The 23,877-nt window shown below is 36.5% G+C and overlaps 1 protein-coding gene across 8 annotated transcripts in view; it reads right to left on the bottom strand.

Annotated features, from left to right (window-relative positions):
• The window catches only part of GRIK2 (glutamate ionotropic receptor kainate type subunit 2), a 676,376-nt gene that overhangs the window by 271,245 nt on the left and 381,254 nt on the right, over positions 1-23,877 (bottom strand). The window lies entirely within an intron of this gene.

Below are 23,877 nucleotides of genomic sequence, written 5' to 3'. Positions count from 1 at the left end.
ACAGAGGCTCAGTGATTTTCAAGTGCTGTGTTAAATGGACCCTCACTCTGTGTTTGACAGATCGATGCCAGGCTTACTACCTAGAAAAGACAGCCACACTGACAATGCTCCTAGTAATGAACTTTGGCCATCTGCTTGGCATGCTTTAGAATAAAAGCATATATTTCCTCTTCTCATTCACACAATTAGTGAGCTGTGAAATGAATAGGAACCCTGTAGATTACAGCATTTGCCACAATACAATACAAAATGAGTATACACAGTAGCTTTCAACCAAATGGATCCTAAGGAGCTATACCACATAAAATGGAAGATGGCTAAAGAGCACAATGCAATAAGAGAACATAATAATATTATTTTATAGTTCATAAATCTCTTGGGAAAATAACTCAGATTCCAAACCTTCATTTTATAAATTCTACTGACTATTTTCACATACCCTGAAGGATGCATAGTGAAAACTAGTAGTGTTCATTGAGGCATACATCCTGAGCCTGAGGATTTGACTGATATTTGTCTCTGACCCGAGTTAATATTCAGAGGACATATTACATATATTACACAGGTAGTCACAAAAATCATCAACAGAATTGGGAAGATACATTTTGAGCGTTTTAAAATATATAACTGTCAACAGAAAGGGTAATTTTGCAGCACAAAACGTAAGAGAGCCTTAAAAATATTTATGTTTATTTTAACCCAGTAATTCCTCTTTCTGGAATTAGCATTAAGAAAATCGGAGCTAAGAATGAAGGCTACATATCCATTGTTTTGTTTTTAGAAAAAAAAAAAAAAAGAGTGGAAATCTACTGAATGACCAAAATAGGGAAATTTCTAAATAAATTCACGATGTTTTCTTATATAAGCACTAAAAAATCATGTTTTGAAAAATACTCAACTAGATGGAAATTAAATACATCTTAAATGGTGTTGTGTTAAATTAGATTTAGATTATACAGAACTGCATTTCCAGCATAAATCATTTTATATATATAAATGTATAAATAATGGTTTTATATATAATATATAATGGTTTCATATATTATATATAGTATGTAATATATAATATATAATATATAAAACCATTATTAATATATAACCATTATTTTATATATAATATAAACTATTATATGTAATATATACATAAAAAAAATATATAATGGTTTATTATGGAAATACAGCATAATATATATTTACTTTATAAATATATGTACAGATAATATATATTTATAGAGTAATATGAAGTATTACCTTATAAAGCAATATATATTTATAAATTAAATAGAATATCTAAAATACACATGCATGTATACTTATATATGGGTAATTAATATATTTACTTTATTCTCTGAATAATAGTATAATAAAAAATCTATTGTTAACATTTTATAAATAACAAAACCAAGGTTGGGAAAAGTGAAGAACTAATTGAAATCACACAGCTAACAAGTGGGGAAGCCCACCCTCCCTGTTCAGGAATGCTTTTGGCCACCACTACATACTATATAAACAACAAAAACAAGAAAACACAATAAAATAATAATGTTTAACTCTTGTGAATTAATCATGAGTAAAATTTTTATTTCATATTTTCCACAGTTTTTAAGATTAACACGTAATGTATGAGGAAGATTACAAAAACTATAGCAGTTATTGCCAAGATAAAAATGTTGATCTATTATGGAAAAAATAACTAAAAGAATACAATCTATAATATTTCTAATTCCAAGTTTTCATGAAAATTGCTTTTCATGACTTACTGACATATAGATAATCTAACAGGACATACATAAAAATCCTAGAGTAGTAACCTTATTTAATATGACAATGCTAGAAAATAATTTTGCCTAATTAAAAATCAAAAAATCTTTTCTGGTATATAGTTTCAGTTTCAAGATCAGGACACAGTAGTTGCTAATAAAACTCTTTGAAATCTGTTATTTTAAGTACAATTATAAAAATTAGATAATATTATTAAACTATAAGATAAATATAGCTGGGCACAGTGGCACACATCTGTAGCCCAGCTACTTGGAAGGGTAAGGTAAGAGGATCACTTGAGCCCTGAAGTTTGAGCCCAGTCTGGGCAAAATGGTGAGACTACTGTCTGTAACAATAAAATATAAATCCTTGAGAAAAAGGTACAAGTAATCTAAAAGTCGCTGATCAAACTACTTCTGGATTTCCCAGTTTAAAATATCTTTACTTATAAATCAATAAACAGAACTTCTGAAATACTTTCTATGATATTTTCTCCAGTTTGGGGTACTTTTTGGTTTTAATTTTAGACTAGTTGTTTTGGTGATATTATGTAGATTTTTCTATTTATATTTAATATCTTGTCAGATTAAACTATTGTCTTCTTTGTAAAATTGTGTGTCTATAAATCTCCTTCCTTTGAAAAACCGTGTGAAAATTCTAGTGCTTCAGAAATGTGGTTTCTCTTATTCTCACAAGAATGCTCACAAAAATGTGCCTTCTCTTATTCTCACAAATATGTGAAAATCTGTCTTCTATTAATAATATTAATAGCCAACATTCATTCAATATCTGTGTGTGAGGCACTCTCCTTAAATTAATTCCTTTAATTTCCATAACCATTATTCAGGTGCAATCCCATCAAGTATGTGTCAAATAGGAAACCAAGGCAGACAGCAGCTAAGTAACTCAAAAAACAAACCATAGCATATAGACGTAGAGCTGGATTTAATCCATATAATCTGTCCAAAGTTTATATCCTTTTCTCTGGGTTTCTCACTCAACACTCTATGGTTAATAAGCAAAGTAGTGAAGGTGGTTTTGTAGTTACACAATGTAACAAATGTCAACAAGCACTTGAATGCATAAATCTCTATATAATTTTTTCATAAATACATAATGAAAATGCACTGCAAAATAAGAAAAGGTAGAGATTATAGAAAACTGGTAAATGCATATTTGTAAAAAAGAAATACATTGTTATACCTGGGGCATGGAGATTGCCCTGTCCTATTCACCACAGCCTATTCCCATGCACCCATCAGGGGACACTAAGGGCAGGCCCACACCCCTGGCACTATCCCCCAAGTACCCAAGCATGCCACCCAGGGACCTGAGAACAGCCCTGCCTTGTTCACCACTGCTGGTGTCCGTGCACTTCTCCTGAGGGCTGGTCCATCCAGCCTGTTGCAGGCACTGCAAACACCAGTATGTGATGCCTGAGAGTCCAAGGGTGGTCCCACCATCACTACTGCTATTTCTCATGCCATGCATACTGCTTAGGGGCCCAGGAATTCACCACACACATGCCCACTGCTGCCACTACTGAACCGAAGCAAGCTTCCTGGAGGCCCAACAATTGGCCCACCTGAGCCCACTAACACACGTGCCCTTGTATGCCACACAGGAGCCTAAAGACAGGCACACTTAGCCCACTGATAACACCACTGGGCCTCAGGACTGAACTACCTGGCACTCCTACACCCAGTAAAATTTCAACACAGTCTCCACTAATAATCACAGTCTAAGAAACGGAAATCACAGACACCACTGATGCTGTAAAAATCATATGAGGACTATGCTACTGCTAACCCTATAATCAAAGCGAAAGTGCCCCCTCAACCAATACCATAGATAAATCCATAGGAAAAATTTTCCCTTATGAAAATCCATCCAAAAAAATTGAAAAAAGCTGGCCGGGTATGGTGGCTCACATCTGTAATTCCAACACTTTGGGAGGCCGAGGTGGATGGATCACCTGAAGTCAGGAGTTTGAGGCCAGCCTAAACAACATGATGAAACCTGGTCTCTACTAAAAATACAAAAGTTAGTGGGTCATGGTAGCTGTGGGCCTGTAATTCCAGCTACTTGTGAGGCTAAGGCAGGAGAATGGCTTGAACCCGGGAGGCAGAAGTTGCAGTCAGCCAAGATGGCGCCACTGCATTCCAGACTGGGTGACAAAGTGAGACTCCGTCTCAAAAAAAAAAAAAAAAATTGAAACAAGCAACTATTACACAAAATGTGTAGATATCAACATAAGGACAGAAAAGGACACAAGAAATAAAAAATCCAGGAAGTATGACACCTCTAAAGGAGCACAATAATTATTCAGCAAAATATTCAGTGAAAAATAGATCTATGAAATGCCTGAAAAAAGATTCAAAATAATTATAGCAAAGAAGCTCAATGAGACACAGAGAACACAGAAAAACAATACAAAGAAAAAAAAATCAGGATATTAATGAAAAGTTCCATAAAGAGATAGACATCATATAAAAGAACCAAACAAATTCTGGAACCACTACAGAAAACCACTAAACCGCAATGATAAACAATAAGAGAGAAAGAAGGGAACAAACGATATACAAAACAAACAAAAACAATTAAAGAATAATAACCTTTGATATAAACACAATAAGGTGTTCATTTGAAAGATATGACTAGCTGAATGGATTTTTTTAATGACCCAACTATATACTGCCTACAAGAAATTCATCTCGGGGAGAAGCCAAGATGACCGAATAGGAACAGCTCCGGTCTACAGCTCCCAGCGTGAGCGACGCAGAAGAGGGGTGATTTCTGCATTTCCATCTGAGGTACCGGGTTCATCTCACTAGGGAGTGCCAGACAGTGGGCACAGAACAGCAGTGCAGTGCACTGTGCGCGAGCCGAAGCAGGGCGAGGCATTGCCTCACTCAGGAAGCGCAAGGGGTCAGGGAGTTCCCTTTCCTGGTCAAGGAAAGGGGTGACAGACAGCACCTGGAAAACCAGGTCACTCCCACCCGAATACTGCGCTTTTCTGACGGGCTTAGGAAATGGCGCACCAGGAGATTATATCCTGCACCTGGCTCGGAGGGTCCTACGCCCATGGAGTCTCGCTGATTGCTAGCACAGAAGTCTGAGATCAAACTGCAACGCGGCAGGGAGGCTGGGAGAGGGGCGCCCACCATTGCCCAGGCTCACTTAGGTAAACAAAGCAGCCAGGAAGCTTGAACTGGGTGGAGCCCACCACAGCTCAAGGAGGTCTGCCTGCCTCTGTAGGCTCCACCTCTGGGGGCAGGGCACAGACAAACAAAAAGACAGCAGTAACCTCTGCAGACTTCAATGTCCCTGTCTGACAGCTTTGAAGAGAGCAGTGGTTCTCCCAGCAGGCAGCTGGAGATCTGAGAACGGGCAGACTGCCTCCTCAACTGGGTCCCTGACCCCTGACCCCCGAGCAGCCTAACTGGGAGGCACCCCCCAGTAGGGGCAGACTGACACCTCACATGGCGAGATACTCCTCTGAGACAAAACTTCCAGAGGAACGATCAGACAGCAGCATTCGCGGTACAAGAAAATCTGCAGTTCTGCAGACACTGCTGCTGATACCCAGGCAAACAGGGTCTGGAGTGGTCCTCTAGCAAACTCCAACAGACCTGCAGCTGAGGGTCCTGTCTGTTAGAAGGAAAACTAACAAACAGAAAGGACATCCACACCAAAACCCATCTGTACATCACCATCATCAAAGACCAAAAGTAGATAATACCACAAAGATGGGGAAAAAACAGAGCAGAAAAACTGGAAACTCTAAAAAGCAGAGCACCTCTCCTCCTCCAAAGGAACGCAGTTCCTCACCAGCAACAGAACAAAGCTGGATGGAGAATGACGTTGACAAGTTGAGAGAAGAAGGCTTCAGATGATCAAACTACTCCGAGCTACAGGAGGAAATTCAAACCAAAGGCAAAGCAGTTGAAAACTTTGAAAAAAATTTAGACGAATGTATAAATAGAATAAACAATACAGAGAAGTGCTTAAAGGAGCTGACGGAGGTGAAAGCCAAGGCTCGAGAACTGCGTGAAGAATGCAGAAGCCTCAGGAGCCGATGCGATCAACTGGAAGAAAGGGTATCAGTGATGGAAGATGAAATGAATGAAATGAAGCGAGAAGGGAAGTTTAGAGAAAAAAGAATAAAAAGAAATGAACAAAGCCTCCAAGAAATATGGGACTATGTGAAAAGACCAAATCTACATCTGATTGGTGTACCTGAAAGAGACGGGGAGAATGGAACCAAGTTGGAAAAAACTCTGCAGGATATTATCCAGGAGAACTTCCCCAACCTAGCAAGGCAGGCCAACATTCAGATTCAGGAAATACAGAGAACACCACAAAGATACTCCTCGAGAAGAGCAACTCCAAGACACATAATTGTCAGATTTACCAAAGTTGAAATGAAGGAAAAAATGTTAACGGCAGCCAGAGAGAAAGGTCGGGTTACCCTCAAAGGGAAGCCCATCAGACTAACAGCGGATCTCTCGGCAGAAACTCTACAAGCCAGAAGAGAGTGGGGGCCAATATTCAACATTCTTAAAGAAAAGAATTTTCAACCCAGAATTTCATATCCAGCCAAACTAAGCTTCATAAGTGAAGGAGAAATAAAATACTTTACAGACAAGCAAATGCTGAGAGATTTTGTCACCACCAGGCCTGCTCTAAAAGAGCTCCTGAAGGAAGCACTAAACATGCAAAGGAACAACCAGGACCAGCCACTGCAAAATCATGCCAAAACGTAAAGACCATCGAGACTAGGAAGAAACTGCATCAACTAATGAGCAAAATAACCAGCTATCATCATAATGACAGGATCAAATTCACACATAACAATATTAACTTTAAATGTAAATGGGCTAAATGCTCCAATTAAAAGACACAGACTGGCAAATTGGATAAAGAGTCAAGACCCATCAGTGTGCTGTATTCAGGAAACCCATCTCACGTGCAGAGACACACATAGGCTCAAAATAAAAGGATGGAGGAAGATCGACCAAGCAAATGGAAAACAAAAAAAGGCAGGGGTTGCAATCCTAGTCTCTGATAAAACAGACTTTAAACCAACAAAGATCAAAAGAGACAAAGAAGGCCATTACATAATGGTAAAGGGATCAATTCAACAAGAAGAGATAACTATCCTAAATATATATGCACCCAATACAGGAGCACCCAGATTCATAAAGCAAGTCCTGAGTGACCTAAAAAGAGACTTAGACTCCCACACAATAATAATGGGAGACTTTAACACCACACTGTCAACATTAGACAGATCAACGAGACAGAAAGTTAACAAGGATACCCAGGAATTGAACTCAGCTCTGCACCAAGCGGACCTAATAGCCATCTACAGAACTCTCCACCCCAAATCAACAGAATATACATTTTTTCAGCACCACACCACACCTATTCCAAAATTGACCACATACTGGGAAGTAAAGCTCTCCTCAGCAAATGTAAAAAAAAAGAAATTATAACAAACTGTCTCTCAGACCACAGTGCAATCAAACTAGAACTCAGGATTAAGAAACTCACTCAAAACCGCACAACTACATGGAAACTGAACAACCTGCTCCTGAATGACTACTGGGTACATAACGAAATGAAGGCAGAAATAAAGATCTTCTTTGACACCAATGAGAACAAAAACACAACATACCAGAATCGCTGGGACACATTCAAAGCAGTGTGTAGAGGGAAATTTATAGCACTAAATGCCCACAAGAGAAAGCAGGAAAGATCCAAAATTGACACCCTAACATCACAATTAAAAGAACCAGAAAAGCAAGAGCAAACACATTCAAAAGCTAGCAGAAGGCAAGAAACAACTAAAATCAGAGCAGAACTGAAGGAAATAGACACACAAAAAACCCTTCAACAAATTAATGAATCCAGGAGCTGGTTTTTTGAAAGGATCAACAAAATTGATAGACTGCTAGCAAGACTAATAAAGAAAAAAAGAGAGAAGAATCAAATAGACGCAATAAAAAATGATAAAAGGGATATCACCACCGATCCCACAGAAATACAAACTACCATCAGAGAATACTACAAACACCTCTATGCAAATAAACTAGAAAATCTAGAAGAAATGGATAAATTCCTCGACATATACACCCTCCCAAGACTAAACCAGGAAGAAGTTGAATCTCTGAATAGACCAATAACAGGAGCTGAAATTGTGGCAATAATCAATAGCTTACCAACCAAAAAGAGTCCAGGACCAGATGGATTCACAGCCGAATTCTACCAGAGGTAAAAGGAGGAACTGGTACCATTCCTTCTGAAACTATTCCAATCAATAGAAAAAGAGGGAATCCTCCCTAACTCATTTTATGAGGCCCGCATCATCCTGATACCAAAGCCGGGCAGAGACACAACCAAAAAAGAGAATTTTAGACCAATATCCTTGATGAACATTGATGCAAAAATCCTCAATAAAATACTGGCAAACCGAATCCAGCAGCACATCAAAAAGCTTATCCACCATGATCAAGTGGGCTTCATCCCTGGGATGCAAGGCTGGTTCAATATACGCAAATCAATAAATGTAATCCAGCATATAAACAGAGCCAAAGACAAAAACCACATGATTATCTCAATAGATGCAGAAAAAGCCTTTGACAAAATTCAACAACCCTTCATGCTAAAAATTCTCAATAAATTAGGAATTGATGTGACGTATCTCAAAATATTAAGAGCTATCTATGACAAACCCACAGCCAATATCATACTGAATGGGCAAAAACTGGAAGCATTCCCTTTGAAAACTGGCACAAGACAGGGATGCCCTCTCTCACCACTCCTATTCAATATAGTGTTGGAAGGTCTGGCCAGGGCAATTAGGCAGGAGAAGGAAATAAAGGGTATTCAATTAGGAAAAGAGGAAGTCAAATTGTCCTTGTTTGCAGATGACATGATTGTATATCTAGAAAACCCCATTGTCTCAGCCCGATATCTCCTTAAGCTGTTAAGCAACTTCAGCAAAGTCTCAGCATACAAAATCAATGTACAAAAATCACAAGCATTCTTATACACCAATAACAAACAAACAGAGAGCCAAATCATGAGTGAACTCCCATTCACAATTGCTTCAAAGAGAATAAAATACTTAGGAATCCAACTTACAAGGGACGTGAAGGACCTCTTCAAGGAGAACTACAAACCACTGCTCAATGAAATAAAAGAGGATACAAATAAATGGAAGAACATTCCATGCTCATGGGTAGGAAGAATCAATATCATGAAAATGGCCATAATGCCCAAGGTAATTTATAGATTCAATGCCATTCCCATCAATCTACCAATGACTTTCTTCACAGAATTGGAAAAAACTACTTTAAAGTTCATACGGCACCAAAAAAGAGCCCGCATCGCCAAGTCAATCCTAAGCCAAAAGAACAAAGCTGGAGGCATCACATTACCTGACTTCAAACTATACTACAAGTCTACAGTAACCAAAACAGCATGGTACTGGTACCAAAACAGAGATACAGATCAATGGAACAGAACAGAGCCCTCAGAAATAACGCCATGTATCTACAACTATCTGATCTTTGACAAACCTGAGAAAAACAAGCAATGGGGAAAGGATTCCCTATTTAATAAATGGTGCTGGGAAAATTGGCTAGCCATATGTAGAAAGCTGAAACTGGATCCCTTCCTTACACCTTATACAAAAATTAATTCAAGATGGATTAAAGACTTAAATGTTAGACCTGAAACCATAAAAACCCAAAAGAAAATCTAGGCATTGCCATTCAGGACATAGGCATGGGCAAGGACTTCAGGTCTAAAACACCAAAAGCAATGGCAACAAAAGCCAAAATTGACAAATGGGATCTAATTAAACTAAACAGCTTCTGCACAGCAAAAGAAACTACTATCAGAGTGAACAGGCAACCTACAAAATGGGAGAAAATTTTCGCAACCTACTCATCTGACAAAGGGCTAATATCCAGAATCTACAATGAACTCAAACAAATTGACAAGAAAAAAACAACCCCATCAAAAAGTGGGCGAAGGATATGAACACACACTTCTCAAAAAAAGACATTTATGCAGCAAAAGACACATGAAAAAAAGCTCATCATCACTGGCCATCAGAGATATGCAAATCAAAATCACAATGAGATACCATCTCACACCAGTTAGAATGGCAATCATTAAACAGTCAGGAAACAACAGGTGCTGGAGAGGATGTGGAGAAATAGGAACACTTTTACACTGTTGGTGGGACTGTAAACTAGTTCAACCATTGTGGAAGTCAGTGTGGCGATTCCTCAGGGACCTAGAACTAGAAATACCATTTGACCCAGCCATCCCATTACTGGGTATATGCCCAAAGGACTATAAATCATGCTGCTATAAAGACACATGCACATGTATGTTTATTGCAGCACTATTCACAATAGCAAAGACTTGGATCCAACCCAAATGTCCAACAATGATAGACCCGATTAAGAAAATGTGGCACATATACACCATGGAATACTATGCAGCCATAAAAAAATGATGAGTTCATGTCCTTTGTAGGGACATGGATGAAATTGGAAATCATCACTCTCAGTAAACTATTGCAAGGACAAAAAACCAAACACTGCATGTTCTCACTCATAGATGGGAATTGAACAATGAGAACACATGGACAGAGGAAGGGGAACATCACACTCTGGGTACTATTGTGGGGTGGGGGCAGGGGGGAGGGATAGCATTAGGAGATATACCTAATGCTAAATGACGAGTTAATGGGTGCAGCACACCAGCATGGCACATGTATACATATGTAACTAACCTGCACATTGTGCACATGTACCCTAAAACTTAAAGTATAATAATAAAAAAAAAGAAAGAAATTCATCTCACTCGTAAAGACACATATAGACAGAAAGTAAAGGAATGAAAAAAAGATATTCTATGCAAATGAAAGCCAAAAGTGAGCTGGAATAGCTATACTTATATCAAATAAAACAAACTTTAAGTCAAAAAACAGTACAAAGAGACAAACCAGGTCATTATATAATGACAAAGGGATCAATTCAGCAAGAGGACATTTCTAAATATTTATGCACCCATCAGCAGGGCACCTAAATATATAAAACAAATTTTATTTGATCTAAAGAGACAGACAGACTACAATACAGAAATAGTTAAGGACTTTAATATCCACTCTCAACATTTAACAGCTCATCTAGGTAGAAAATCAACAAACATCAGATTAAAACTGCAGTTTAGCCAAAGGGACTTAACAGACATTTACAGAACCTTTCATCCAACAACTGCAGAATATACATTCTTCTCATCAGCACACAAAACAGTCCAGGAAAAACAATGTAAGGCCACAAAATGTTTCAACAAACTTTTAAAAGTTGAAAAGGTGCAAAAGTCAAATATCTTATCAGACCACAATAAACAAAAAAATAGAAATCAATAACAAGAAGAATTTTTGAAACTCTACAAATATATGGACACTAAACAGCATACTCTTGAATGACCATTAGGTCATGGAGTAAATTAAGCAGAAAATCTAAAAGTTTCTTGAAACAAATAAAAATGGAAACACAACACATCAAAACACACCGGATACAGGAAAAGCAGTGTTAAGAGGGAAGTTTATAGCAATATGTATCTACATCAAGAAAATATAAAGATTTTAAATAACCTAATGATGCACCTCAAGAACTAGAAAAGTAAGAACAAATCAAACCTAGTATTAGTAGAAGAAAAAAATAATAAAGATCAGAACTGAAATAAATGAAATAGAGACTTAAAAAATAATACAAAGGATTATTGAAATGAAAAGTCTTTAAAAAAAATTGACAAACTTCTAGTTAAACTAAGAAAAAAAAGATGAAAGACCCAAATAAACAAAATCAGAAGGTAAAAAATGGACATTACAATAGATAACACTGAAATACAAAAAAATCCTAAAAGACTGTTATGAAAAACTATGTACTAACAAACTCAAAAATTTATAGGAAATGGATAAATTTTTAGACACATACAACCTACTACCAACATTGAATTAGAAAGAAGTAGAAAAACTGAACAGGCTAATAAGAGTAACAAAATTGAATCAATAATAAAATGGCTTCCACCAAAGAAAAGCCCAGTATCAGATGACTTCACTGCCATATTCTACCTAACTTTTAAAAAATAATTAATACCAATTCTACTCAAACTACCTGTTAAAAAGCAAGAGGAGATAATTCTTCCTAACTCATTTTATGAGGTCAGTATTATGATACCAAAAGCAGACAAGGACACAACAGCAACAACAACTGGTGAACATCTATGTTTTGTATCTATGTTCACAGGCAAACATCCCTGGTGAACATAGATGTAAAAATCCTCAACAAAACAGTAGCAAGCTAAATTCAACAGAACATCCAAAAGGTACTACAACATGATCAAGTGGAATTTATTCCAGGAGCTCAAGGATGGTTCAACCTGCATAAAACAATAAATGTAATACATCACACCAATAGAATAAAGGGTAAAAATCATGTGATCTCAACAGACACAGAAAAACATTTGATAAAATTCAACATTCCTTCATAATATAAACTCAACAGACTAAGCATAAAAGGAACATGCCTCAGTATAACACAGGCCATATATGACACACCTACAAATAACATAATGTATGGGAAAAAGCTGAAATCCTTTCCTCTAAAAACTTGAACCAGACAATGATGCCCACTTTTACAACTCCTATTCAACAAAGTACTGAAAGTCCTACTCAGAGCAATCAGACAACAGAAAGAAAGGACACTGAAACTGGAAAAAAAAAAAGTCAAATTGTCCCTTTTGCAGGTGACATGATCTTATGTTTTAAAAAACCTAAAGACTCCACCAAAAACTCTATTTGGCAAATTCAGTAAAGTTGTAGAACACAAAATCAACAAACAAAAATCAGCCATGTTTTTATACACAAATAACTAATCAGCCAAACTATCAAGAAGGTAATCTCATTTACACTACCAACAAAAAGTAAAAAACCTTAGGAATAAATTTAACTAAGGAGATGAGGAACTCTACAATGAAACCTACAAAAAATTGATTAAAGAAATTGAAGAGGACACAGGCAGATGAAAAGACCATGCTCATGTATAGGAAGGATTAATGTTGTAAAAATGGCCATACTACCCAAAACAATCTACAGATTCAACACAATTACCACCAATATATCATGACATTCTTCACAGAAATAGAAAAGAAAAAAAACTTCTAAAATTCATATGGAACCAAAACAGCCTGAATAACCAAAGCAATCCTGAGCAAAAAGAAAAAAAGCTGAAGGCATCACAATACCTGACCTTAAAATGTGTTACAAGGCTATAATAACTAAAACAGCATGGTATTGGTATAAAAACAGACACATAGACCAATGAAACAAAATGGGCAATCCAGAAATAAATCCATATATTTATAGTCTACTGATTTTTGAAAAGGAGCCAAGAATATACGTCGGAAACAGAATAGGTTCTTCAATAAATGGTACTGAAAAAAACTGGATACCCATAGGCAAAAGAATGAAACTAGACTCCTATCTCTCATCATATACAAAAAATATTGCAAAATGAATTAAAGTCTTAAATATAAGTTCTGAAAGTATAAAACTACTAGAAGGAAACACAGACTAACACTCTAGGACATTGGTCTAGGCAAATACTCTATGGCTAAGGACCCAAAAGCATAGGCAATTAACAAAAAATAGACATATGGGACACAAAAAGCCATATGGGACATAAAAAGATTCTGCACAGCAAAGCAAACAACCAACAGAGTGAAGAGATAACCTGTTGAATGGTAGAAAATATTTGCAAGCTATTTGTCTCACATGGGATCAATATTCAGAATATAAAAGAAGCTCAAACAACTCAACAGTAAAAAAAATAAATAAATAAAAAATCCCATTAAAAAGTGGGCAGAGGATGTGAACAGACATTTCTCTAAAAAGACATAAAAACAGACAACAGATATATAAAAAACACTCATTATCACTAATCATCAGGGAAATGCAAGTCAAAACCACAATGAAATATCATCTAACCCGAGTTTGAATAGTTCTTAAACAAAAAGACAATAACAAATGCAAACCAAAAACATGGAGAAAAAGGAACTCTTATACACTGCTGCTGAGTGTATTAGTCTGTTTTCACACTGCTATAAAGATACTACCTGAGACTGGGTAATTTATAAACAAAAGAGGTTTAATTGAATCAGTTCTGCATGGCTAGAGAGGCCTCAGGAAACTTAAAATCATGGCAGAAGGCAAAGGGGAAGAAAGGTATGTCTTACATGGTAGCAGGAGAGAGAGAGAGGGATAGCAGGGAAAACTGCCACTTATAAAACCATCAGATCTCATGAGAATTCCCTCACTATCATGAGAACACCGTGATCCAATCACCTCCCACCAGGTCTCTCCCTTGAAACATGGTGATTACAATTTGAGATGAGATTTGGGTGGGAACACAGAGCCAAGCCATAACATTCCAATCCTGGTCCCTCACAAATCTCATGTACTTTTCACCTTTCAAAACCAATCATGCCTTCCCCACAGTCCCTCAAAGTCTTAACTCATTCCAGCATTAACCTAAAAATCCAAGTCCAAAGTCTCCTCTGAGACAAGGCAAGTCCCTTCCGCCAATAAGCCTGTAAAATCATAAGCATGTTAGTTACTTCCAAGATACAATGCAGGTACAGGCATTGGGTAAATGTTCCCAGCAACAGCCCGAGCTGTACCTTGGCTGCTTTTAGCCACTGCTGGAGCTGGAACTGGAGTAGCTGGACATAGGGCACCAAGTCCCAAAGCTGCATAGAGTAGCAGGGCCCTGGGCCTGGCCCATGAAGCCAATTTTTCCCTCCTAGGCCTCTGGGCCTGTGATGGAAGGAGCTGCTGTGAAGGTCTCTGATATGCCTTAGAGACATTTTCCCCATTTTCTTGGCTAGTAACATTCCGCTCCTCGTTACTTATGCAAATTTCTGCAGCTGGCTTGAATTCCTCCCCAGAAGACGGGTTTTTCTTTTCTACCACATGGTCAAGTTGCAAATTTCCCAAACCTTTATGCTCTGCTTCCATTTTTAAACATAAGATCCAATTTCAAACCATCTATTTGTGAATGTATATAACTGAATGCTTTCAGAATAAGCCAGGTTACATCTTGAATGTTTTGCTGCTTAGACATTTTTTCCCACCAGATACCCTAAATAATCTATCTCAAGTTCAAAGTTCCACAGAGGGCAGGGGCAAAATGCAAGCAGTCTCTTTGCTAAAGCCTAGCAAGACAGACCTATACTCCAGTTCCCAGCAAGTTCTTCATCTGCATCTGAGACCACCTCAACCTGTACTTCATTGTCCACATCACTATCAACATTTTGGTCAAAGCCATTCAACAAGTCTCTAGGAAGTTCCAAACTTTTCCCCACTTTCCTGTGTACTTTGAAGCTCTCCAAACTGTTACAACCTTTGCCTGTTACCCAGTTCCAAAGTCACTTTCACATTTTCAGGTTATCTTTATAGCATTACCCCACTTTCAGTACCAATTCTCTTTATTAGTCCATTTTTCACACTGCTATAAGGACACTACCTGAGACTGGGTAATTTAGAAACAAAAGAGATTTAATTGACTCACAGTTCCGCATGACTGGAGAGGCCTCAGGAAACTTACAATCATGGCAGAAGGCAAAGGGGAAGCAAGATATGTCTTACATGGTGGCAAGAGAGAGAGAGAGAGCATGCAAATGGGAAACTGTCACTTTGAAAATCATCAGATCTCATGAGAACTCCCTCACTATCATGAGAACAACATGGGTGAAACCATCCCCATGATCTAATTATCTCCCACTAGGTCCCTCCTTTGTCATGTGGGAATTAAAATTCAAAATGAGATTTGAGGCCGGGTGCACTGCCTCACGCCTGTAATCCCAGCACTTTGAGAGGCCGAGGCGGGTGGATCACAAGGTCAGGAGATCGAGACCATCCTGGCTAACACAGTGAAACCCCATCTCTACTAAAAATACAAAAAAAATTAGCCGGGCATGGTGGCGGGTGCCTGTAGTCCCACCTACTCAGGAAGCTGAGGCAGGAGAATGGTGTGAACCCGGGAGGCGGAGCTTGCAGTGAGCTGAGATCGCACCACTGCACTCCAGCCTGGGCGACAGTGAGACTCCATCTCAAAAAAAAAAAAAAAAAAAGAGATTTGAGTGGGGACACAAAGCTAAACCATATCACTGGGAATGTAAATTAGTACAGCCATTATGGAAAATAGCATGGTGCTCACTCAATAAACTAAAAATAGAACTACCATGTGATCTAGCAATCTCACTACTGGGTATGTATCCAAAGGAAAGGAAATCAGTATATCAAAGGGATACATGCACTCCTATGTTTATTTAACACTATTTGCAATAGCCAAAATATGGAATCAACCTAAGTGTTCATCAGCACATGAATAGGTAAAGAAAATGTAGGATATATACACAATAGAACATCATTTGACCATGAAAAAGAAATGAAATCATGTCATTTGCAGCAACATGGATGGAATTGGAGGTCATTATGGTAAGTGAAATAAGTGAGGCGCAGAAAGTAAGATCACATGTTCTCACTCCTGTGTAGGGGCTATGGAAAGGTTGGTCTCATGGAAGTAGAGAGGAGAATGATAGCTACTGAAAACTTGGAAGGGAACCTGAGTATGAGAAGGACAGACGAGGAGAAGTTGGTTAATGTTTACAAACTTACAGTTAGATAGAAGAAATAAGTTCTAATATTTGATAGCAGAGTAGGGTAACTAGAGTTAACAACAATTTATTGTATATTTTAAAATAGCTAGAAGAGAGGATTGCAATGTTTCCATCACAGAGAAATAGTAAATGCTAGACATAGTGAATATCCCAAATACCGTGACTCGATCATGCTAGAAGTAGTGAATATCCTAAATAGCCTGACTTGATCATTACAAATGCTATGGATGTAACAAATGATCACATGTACTCCATAAATATGTACATACATTAAGAATCAATAAAATAAAATAAAGGGGACTCCAGAGAACTCTCTAGCCCTCTTTCTGTCATAGGAAGATGGAACGAGAAGTTGGGTGTCCAAAACCTAGGAGAGGGCTTTCATCAGAACCCATACTGGCACTTTGATCTCAGACTTTCAACCTCCAGAATTGTGAGAAATAAATTTCTGTTGTTTATTTTAGAAAAAAAAAAACTAATGTATGAATATGGTTCAATAATAGGTGGGTTAAAAAGTTACTAATATTAACTAGGAACAATTTCATGAAAAAAATAGATTTCTGAACATATGAAGGATAAGATAGCATAAATCCAGGAAACTATATTATTAAAATATTTAAAAATTTAGAAACAGAAAAGGTAAATATACATACACACATATACAAACATATATCATGCACGCACACATATACATAATGTATGTATGTATATGTATGTATGTATATACCAGAGGGGTATGTGTGTATGTATGCATATGTGTATATGTATGTATCTACTACAGGAGCCAGAACACATTATGGTGACTGGTGAATAGAATTTTCTAAAAATATTAAGCACTCTTGTAGGCAACACTAAATTGATAGTATACCCCCAAATACATATCTCTACAAATCAAAGGTTATCAAGCTTAAACATTATTTGTCCCAAGGAACATTGAGGTAAAACAAATAATTTAAATCATCAAGTATGGACAGGAATGGTCAAGTTAGGAACCCACATTTCCAGTCGTTGTCCTGGAAGGAGCCACCACACTCCTTTCAGAGGTTCATAATGTCACTGATTGTGACCAATTATTAGTGAAATCTGATCACTATAAGGATAAGAAAGAAGTACCTATAAATGATTGTATAAAATATAAGTATGGAATTACATAGAGGCCCAACAATGCCTAGAAAAAGATAACTGAAAAAATAACATATAAAGTAAATAGAAAAAAACAAAATAAACAAATACAAATTAGATTACAAAAAGAAATTATAGAATCATATAATTCTAACAAATCCTGAACTGAGCAGGATGCAAACATTAGTTCAGAGGACAAAATAAGTTTAAAAAGCAGCAATTTTAGTCTTTATTTCATGAGTGTCAAAGGACATTCTTATAACCCCTAGCAATATAACACTTTTTAAAGCCCTCTTCAACATTCTAGTTTGCTTCTATCCAGTTGCTGCTCGGGAGGTTTTCAAAGGGCAAAGGCCCTAGTGTATCTTTCACGCTGGGGCCTAAGAGGCGTCTCTTACACCCAAATTTAGAGATTGATTTATCTGCTTTTGCTAAATCTTCATCCTCTCTTATTGACTCTATAATTCCTTGCCTTGACTCTTTTCTTAATGGAAGAAAACAGGAGAAAAGAAGAGAGGGGTGGAACAGAGGAAGAGAGAAGTGGAGGGGAAACACAGGTTAAATTATATTATCATTTTTATAATATTATTATTACAAAACAATAATTATTTTAATTCAAGTTATATTGAGTCCTTAACTCTGTGCCACAGAACTGTGCTGATTTCTTTACATGCATTATCTCATTTAATTCTCACAAAGACCGTATGTTCTAAATGATATTACTACAAACATTTTTGAGAGCAGGAAACTGAAGATAGGAAGGTTAAAGTAATTATTTCGAGGTCTCATGAAAGATTGGCAGAAATAAGATTCGGGCAAATCCTAACCCTTAGAATCACTGTCTAAACAATTATAATCCCTGCCTCCCCTAGGCCATATTCCCACTGAAACTATGATGGGCAAAGGAGGGGAAACTAGTGGGAGAAGATCTCACAGTTTAGGGGGTGTCTTACGAATACCAGGCTAGTATGGTTCCACGGACCATGGAGAATACATCTCTGAGCTGGGATTCCAATAAAAGTTATTGTAGTCCCTAAGTCAAATCTTGTCTTTTTCTTATACATTATAGCTACCTCTAAAGAATGCTTCAGGGTTCAACATAACTCTAATTTAACCAAGTAAACTAAAAATATCAGTACAATTTGGTTATTAAAATCCATATGAGATAGTTAGATAAATCTGTGGTCATTTACATCCTAAACTACAAAGGCAAGACAAAAGCTAAGCAGGGGTTGGGAGTAAATCAATAATGAAGATAAGATAATCTGTTCTATTTTCTCTCTTTCAACTACAATTTTATATATATATAGAGAGAGAGATTTATCTCTCCAAGCATAATTATATATGTGTATATATGCATATGGATTATATACATTATATATTATACATACACACACATACCCCCATATATATGGGCCACACTTAATGGAAAGCTAGAAGAGAATATCTGTTCCCTCTGAGGGTATAGTGCAGCAGAAAGAAGCTCAAATTAGGTAGGTACCAGCCAGACAGGGCTAATGTGACAGCTAAATGCAGCCCTACCTGCTTCACTGCTAGTTCAGACGCCTGTCAACTGGAATGTGGGCTGCCTTTCAGAGCTTACTTCAGACTAGATTGAAGCTATTTTTATTTCCAAAATAAGTTAGTTAACCTACAAAAAATGTTTTTCAGCCAAAAACTTGTTTTGTTTTGCAAACCTTTAAAATTGTGCAATATTGTCCTACACATTTTAGTAAAACTATAGTGATCTTTCCAAATGGCTGGCTTGAAAAGAACATAAGAAATGTCTGCAAATATATTTAAATATTCATTAACCTTCTTACTAGCTTATTGCTTGGTGTATCTTATACCTAGTCAAATTACTTTTAAGAATGGAATGTGTAACAGACAAACAGGCAGAAGAGTGACAAATGCTAATTTCTATGGCTGAGCCATTGCCACAGAAATAGGCTTAGTCACTCAGTACTATTCCATCCATCAACTAACCTCATGACTGATGAGTCTTTAAGGTATTAAAAAAAACAGTAAAATCTATGTATGCTTACATTTTCCTTATACTTTGGAAAAATTCACTACATATTTTTAAATAATTGAAGAATTTAAGAAATTAGATGTTCTAAAAAGTTTCAAATAAAAATTGACATTAATATTTTGATCTTATATATATAATTAAAATATCTCCAAATATAAAAAACAGAAATAATAGATTCTATGAATAGTTAAAATATTTATATGTGCTTAGATTTCATTTACAAAATAATCTGATACTAAGCAGTAATTACCAAGCTACCAATGTCCAGGTTTAATGCATATGTTATTTCTGTTTCTGATTCCTATCACATTATACATTTCCTTTGTAAAGGTCTAAAATAGGTGCTTCAAGAGTTACACAAAAATTAAAACATAGCTTTTCTTTGAAAAAAGTATGAAGACAATAGAAACAAACAATTCCAAACTATGTACAAATACAGAACAGAACGTTAGTATATCAAATTTCTCAGATGTACTAAAAATTTTTCTCAGCAAAAATCCATCAAAAATGTTTATTTTTTTCTTCTGGTGAGAAGTCATTCTTTTGGAATGACTTTTGGATACCTCCATTGAATTTTGACTGGGAGAACTTAGAACCTAGTATTTTCCAGGTTATTCTGTCTGTTGTACCAAGCACGGTTATATTTGTGATAATATTTCACTCTTTGCTCAAGACTTGTTGTTTATTAGCACTCGTGGCCTGGGCTACAAATGCTTTCAATGTTGAATGCAATAATTTATATCTAAATATAATTACTCTTAAGAGTAATTTAAATATGTGTAGTTTATAATGTGTACATTTTACTCTCATACATCTATTAGAAGTTAAAGAGTGATTCACCATTTTTCTTGGAAGATGGTCCATTGATTTCATTTTATTCTAGAACTATCTAGAATCCTAGCAAATTAAACATCACTAATTTGTATCTTCTTTCTTCCTTTTACATTCTAGTTTTAATAAAACTGTTTATATTTTTCTTGCCTTTTGTTTTTCCTTTTATAACACAATCATCTTTTGGATAAGAACAATGTCTATCTTTTTAATACCTCACATAGTATTCCATACACTGCCTTGCCTGTAGTAAGTGTATAAAAGTACTTTTCAATAAATGGATGAATTCAACCATAAAGTTCATTTAAACAATAAAAGAAATAGGTATTTGGGAGCTCTGAATAACAATCACACTTTGCCATTTAGCTAGAATGTATTACCCCCCAGAGGTACAGTGAACCAAATCTGTCAGCAGCTCAGACTGGAGAGGAATGTGAGTAAAGCCTCTGTCCCGTTTCTAAATGAATTTATAGTAACAGTTCCTTGAACACATTTATCTTTCCATTAAGTAAGTGCAGGCAGGTCCCCTTTGAGATCCGAATGCTAGCTGGCAGGTGGCAGATCCATTCTGGAACTCCTACATCTCAGATTTTGCTCATTTCTGAATTCCCATTTGAGGTACAGTGCATAGCAGAAAGAGCTGCATGGTCTAATAAATAGAATAGAAGTTTATGAATTCTGGATCTTTCACTGACTTGACCTTTTTACTAAAGAAAATAATAAAAAAAAATCCCTATTGCCTTGTTTCCTCATTTTATCATTGAAAATTAAATATGATGATCTAAAGATTTTCTTGCTTGAAAAATTACTTTAAAAATCAGATAGTTTCAGGAAAAAAAATACAAATGTTAGTTCTTTAGTTAGATAATACAGATATTAACAGTGATGGGCAAAGAGGTAGATCCTGACCTTGGGATCTCCCTTGCACAGTCAGCACAAGCCTAAATGGGACAGACAATCGCCCACCCCTCTGAGCAAGAAGGAGGGGGTCACACATGGAGAACAGGCTGGTGCTCACTCATTCAGCTGGCACACTGCACTGAGCACTCTGCCCAGCACAGAGCAGGTGTGCGGTGGCTGCTAGCTGAACTGAGGGACTGATGAAGAAATGCCCTCAGACCCAGTCGGGAGCCAATTGTCAGAGACAATTCTCCCAGTTACACTGCAGCTGCCATTATGCTTTCTCTGTTGCTGGCTCTTTGTATTACTCTGAAACAGAGTTCTTTACCAGCAGCTGCGTGGACTACACAGACTGCATGAGATAATACATTAAAGCAGTTCGCACAATTCCTGGCACATGGTGCATAGGCAGGTGTTGGACGATGATGGCGATGATCACCAGAAGAGCGGTAATCTCTTCAGATGGATACTCTCCAGAACAAGGAACCAGTTTAGAAAGTATAATGCTTCAACCCTTCTGCACCCACTGTTAGCCTAAATGGGAGAACAGGCCTCATGCTGTTTAAAACAGCAGATCAGGTTCTAGATGGCAAAGGAGCATGGAGGAAATTAACATATAATAACCTGATCCCTACACAATGTGTTATGTACATGACGCTACAATTCAGTTGAACTCAGAATGCCAAAAAATAAAAAATTGAGTACATATAAGTTACTGACAAATTTAGAATTCAAGAATAAAGATGAGTGGTAAAATATTATAATGTCTTGTATTTAATATTAAATGAAGGACTGCTATTGCACAGATAATTTCACTACAGCATGTAAACTTGGACAAGTATGACTATTATTTTTTCTAGTCTTCAGTTTCTTCATCTATAAAAGGAGGGGATTGAATCAGGTGGATTTTAAGGCATCCTGTGGCTAACATTCATATTACTAGAAAATCCACATTTTACTCTGATTTTATACCGGTTTTGTAATATAACCATAACCCTTATTTGTCTGTCTTCTCTGCATAATTATTTACTCTTTACATTCTACATATGTCTGTCTCTCTCCATAATTCTTTATAATGTTGTGTGCTTGCTTAACAAACTATTGTATGAACATTTCATACAAATTAATAAGGGTAATCAAAAGTAATTATTCTTAGGCCATTGACTGTGTTCATATCCTAGCAAATTACTGCCTGAACAAATAAAACCTGCCAATATTTATATTATGGTCTTTTCTTTGTTGTTTCACCTTCATTGCTGTTAAACTTCTCATGTACATTAAATCTCAGCCTGGCCTCCTCATTCTTCGAAGAAGAAAACTAAAATTCTTTCTTTCCTACCCAAAGTCATTCTCCAATATTACAGCATTTTACCTCCTTTTGCCTCCTCTTACACAGTGAAAACACAAATCTGCTTATGACTTATGTTTTTGAACTACCAGAGAGATTTTATTACAAATTAAATGCATTAAAGAAAATTTCAGAAACTGCATGATGAAATACCTTTAAAAATATATGAATTTTTAGTGAGCCAAGATAGTGCCACTGCACTCCAGCCTGGGTGGCAAAGTAAGACCACATCTCTCTCTCTCTCTCTCCATATATATATATCTATATTCCATATATATACACATATATAATTTCCATATACACACATATATATATTGTTTCCATATATATATGAAGAAATCTGTATCTTCACACTTTGCCATACAGCTAGAATGTATTACCTCCTAGAAATACAATGAGCCAAATCTGTCAGCAGCTCAGACCGGGGCGGGGAATGTGAGTACAGCCTCTGTCTTGTTTCTAAATGAATTTATAGTTTATTATAAATAAACTATACAGTAATGTGTGTGTGTGTATATATATATCTCACACACATATATATACATATATATACACACATATATATATAAAGATTTTTGTCTCTACATGTGTGTCATTGAGTACCCATGAGGGCTGAAAGGAAGAGACAAATTGATGAATTAGGAAGAATATTCAAATTCAGCAATGTTCTGAAGATCAAGTAAAGTAGGCAGCACTGAGTGATAGTGGTTGCTGAGATTCAGATAAGAAACTGTCTTGGCCAGAATTAATGTCATGAATAATTAACAAATCCATTTGTTTAGTGTTCCTGTGAATTTGAATAAATGTCTATGTCTCTCCAAACCAGTGCTCTCTGGCTTAAGCTGAAAGCTACCAAAAAATAGTGATTGCCAATTAGCTTATTTTGAACAACAACCAGTAAATACAGCCTAAAATGTGGCTGACACTAATTTTAACAATAAGAGTTTCCATTGGCCCTTTATGTTTATCTTACACAAATACGGGCTTTCATTCTTTCAAAAACTCTTGTTGGATACCATTTTCTTTAACAAGATAATTTTATAAACAGTATTATTTCCCTGTAAGATTTTAAAGCTTCATAAGGAATGATGTTCAATACATGAAGTTTTAAAGT

This window comes from Homo sapiens, chromosome 6, assembly GCF_000001405.40.
Source record: "Homo sapiens chromosome 6, GRCh38.p14 Primary Assembly".
Taxonomy (NCBI): domain Eukaryota; kingdom Metazoa; phylum Chordata; class Mammalia; order Primates; family Hominidae; genus Homo; species Homo sapiens.
Note: the sequence above shows the minus strand (reverse complement) of the source record. Positions and strands in the feature narration are given on the sequence as shown.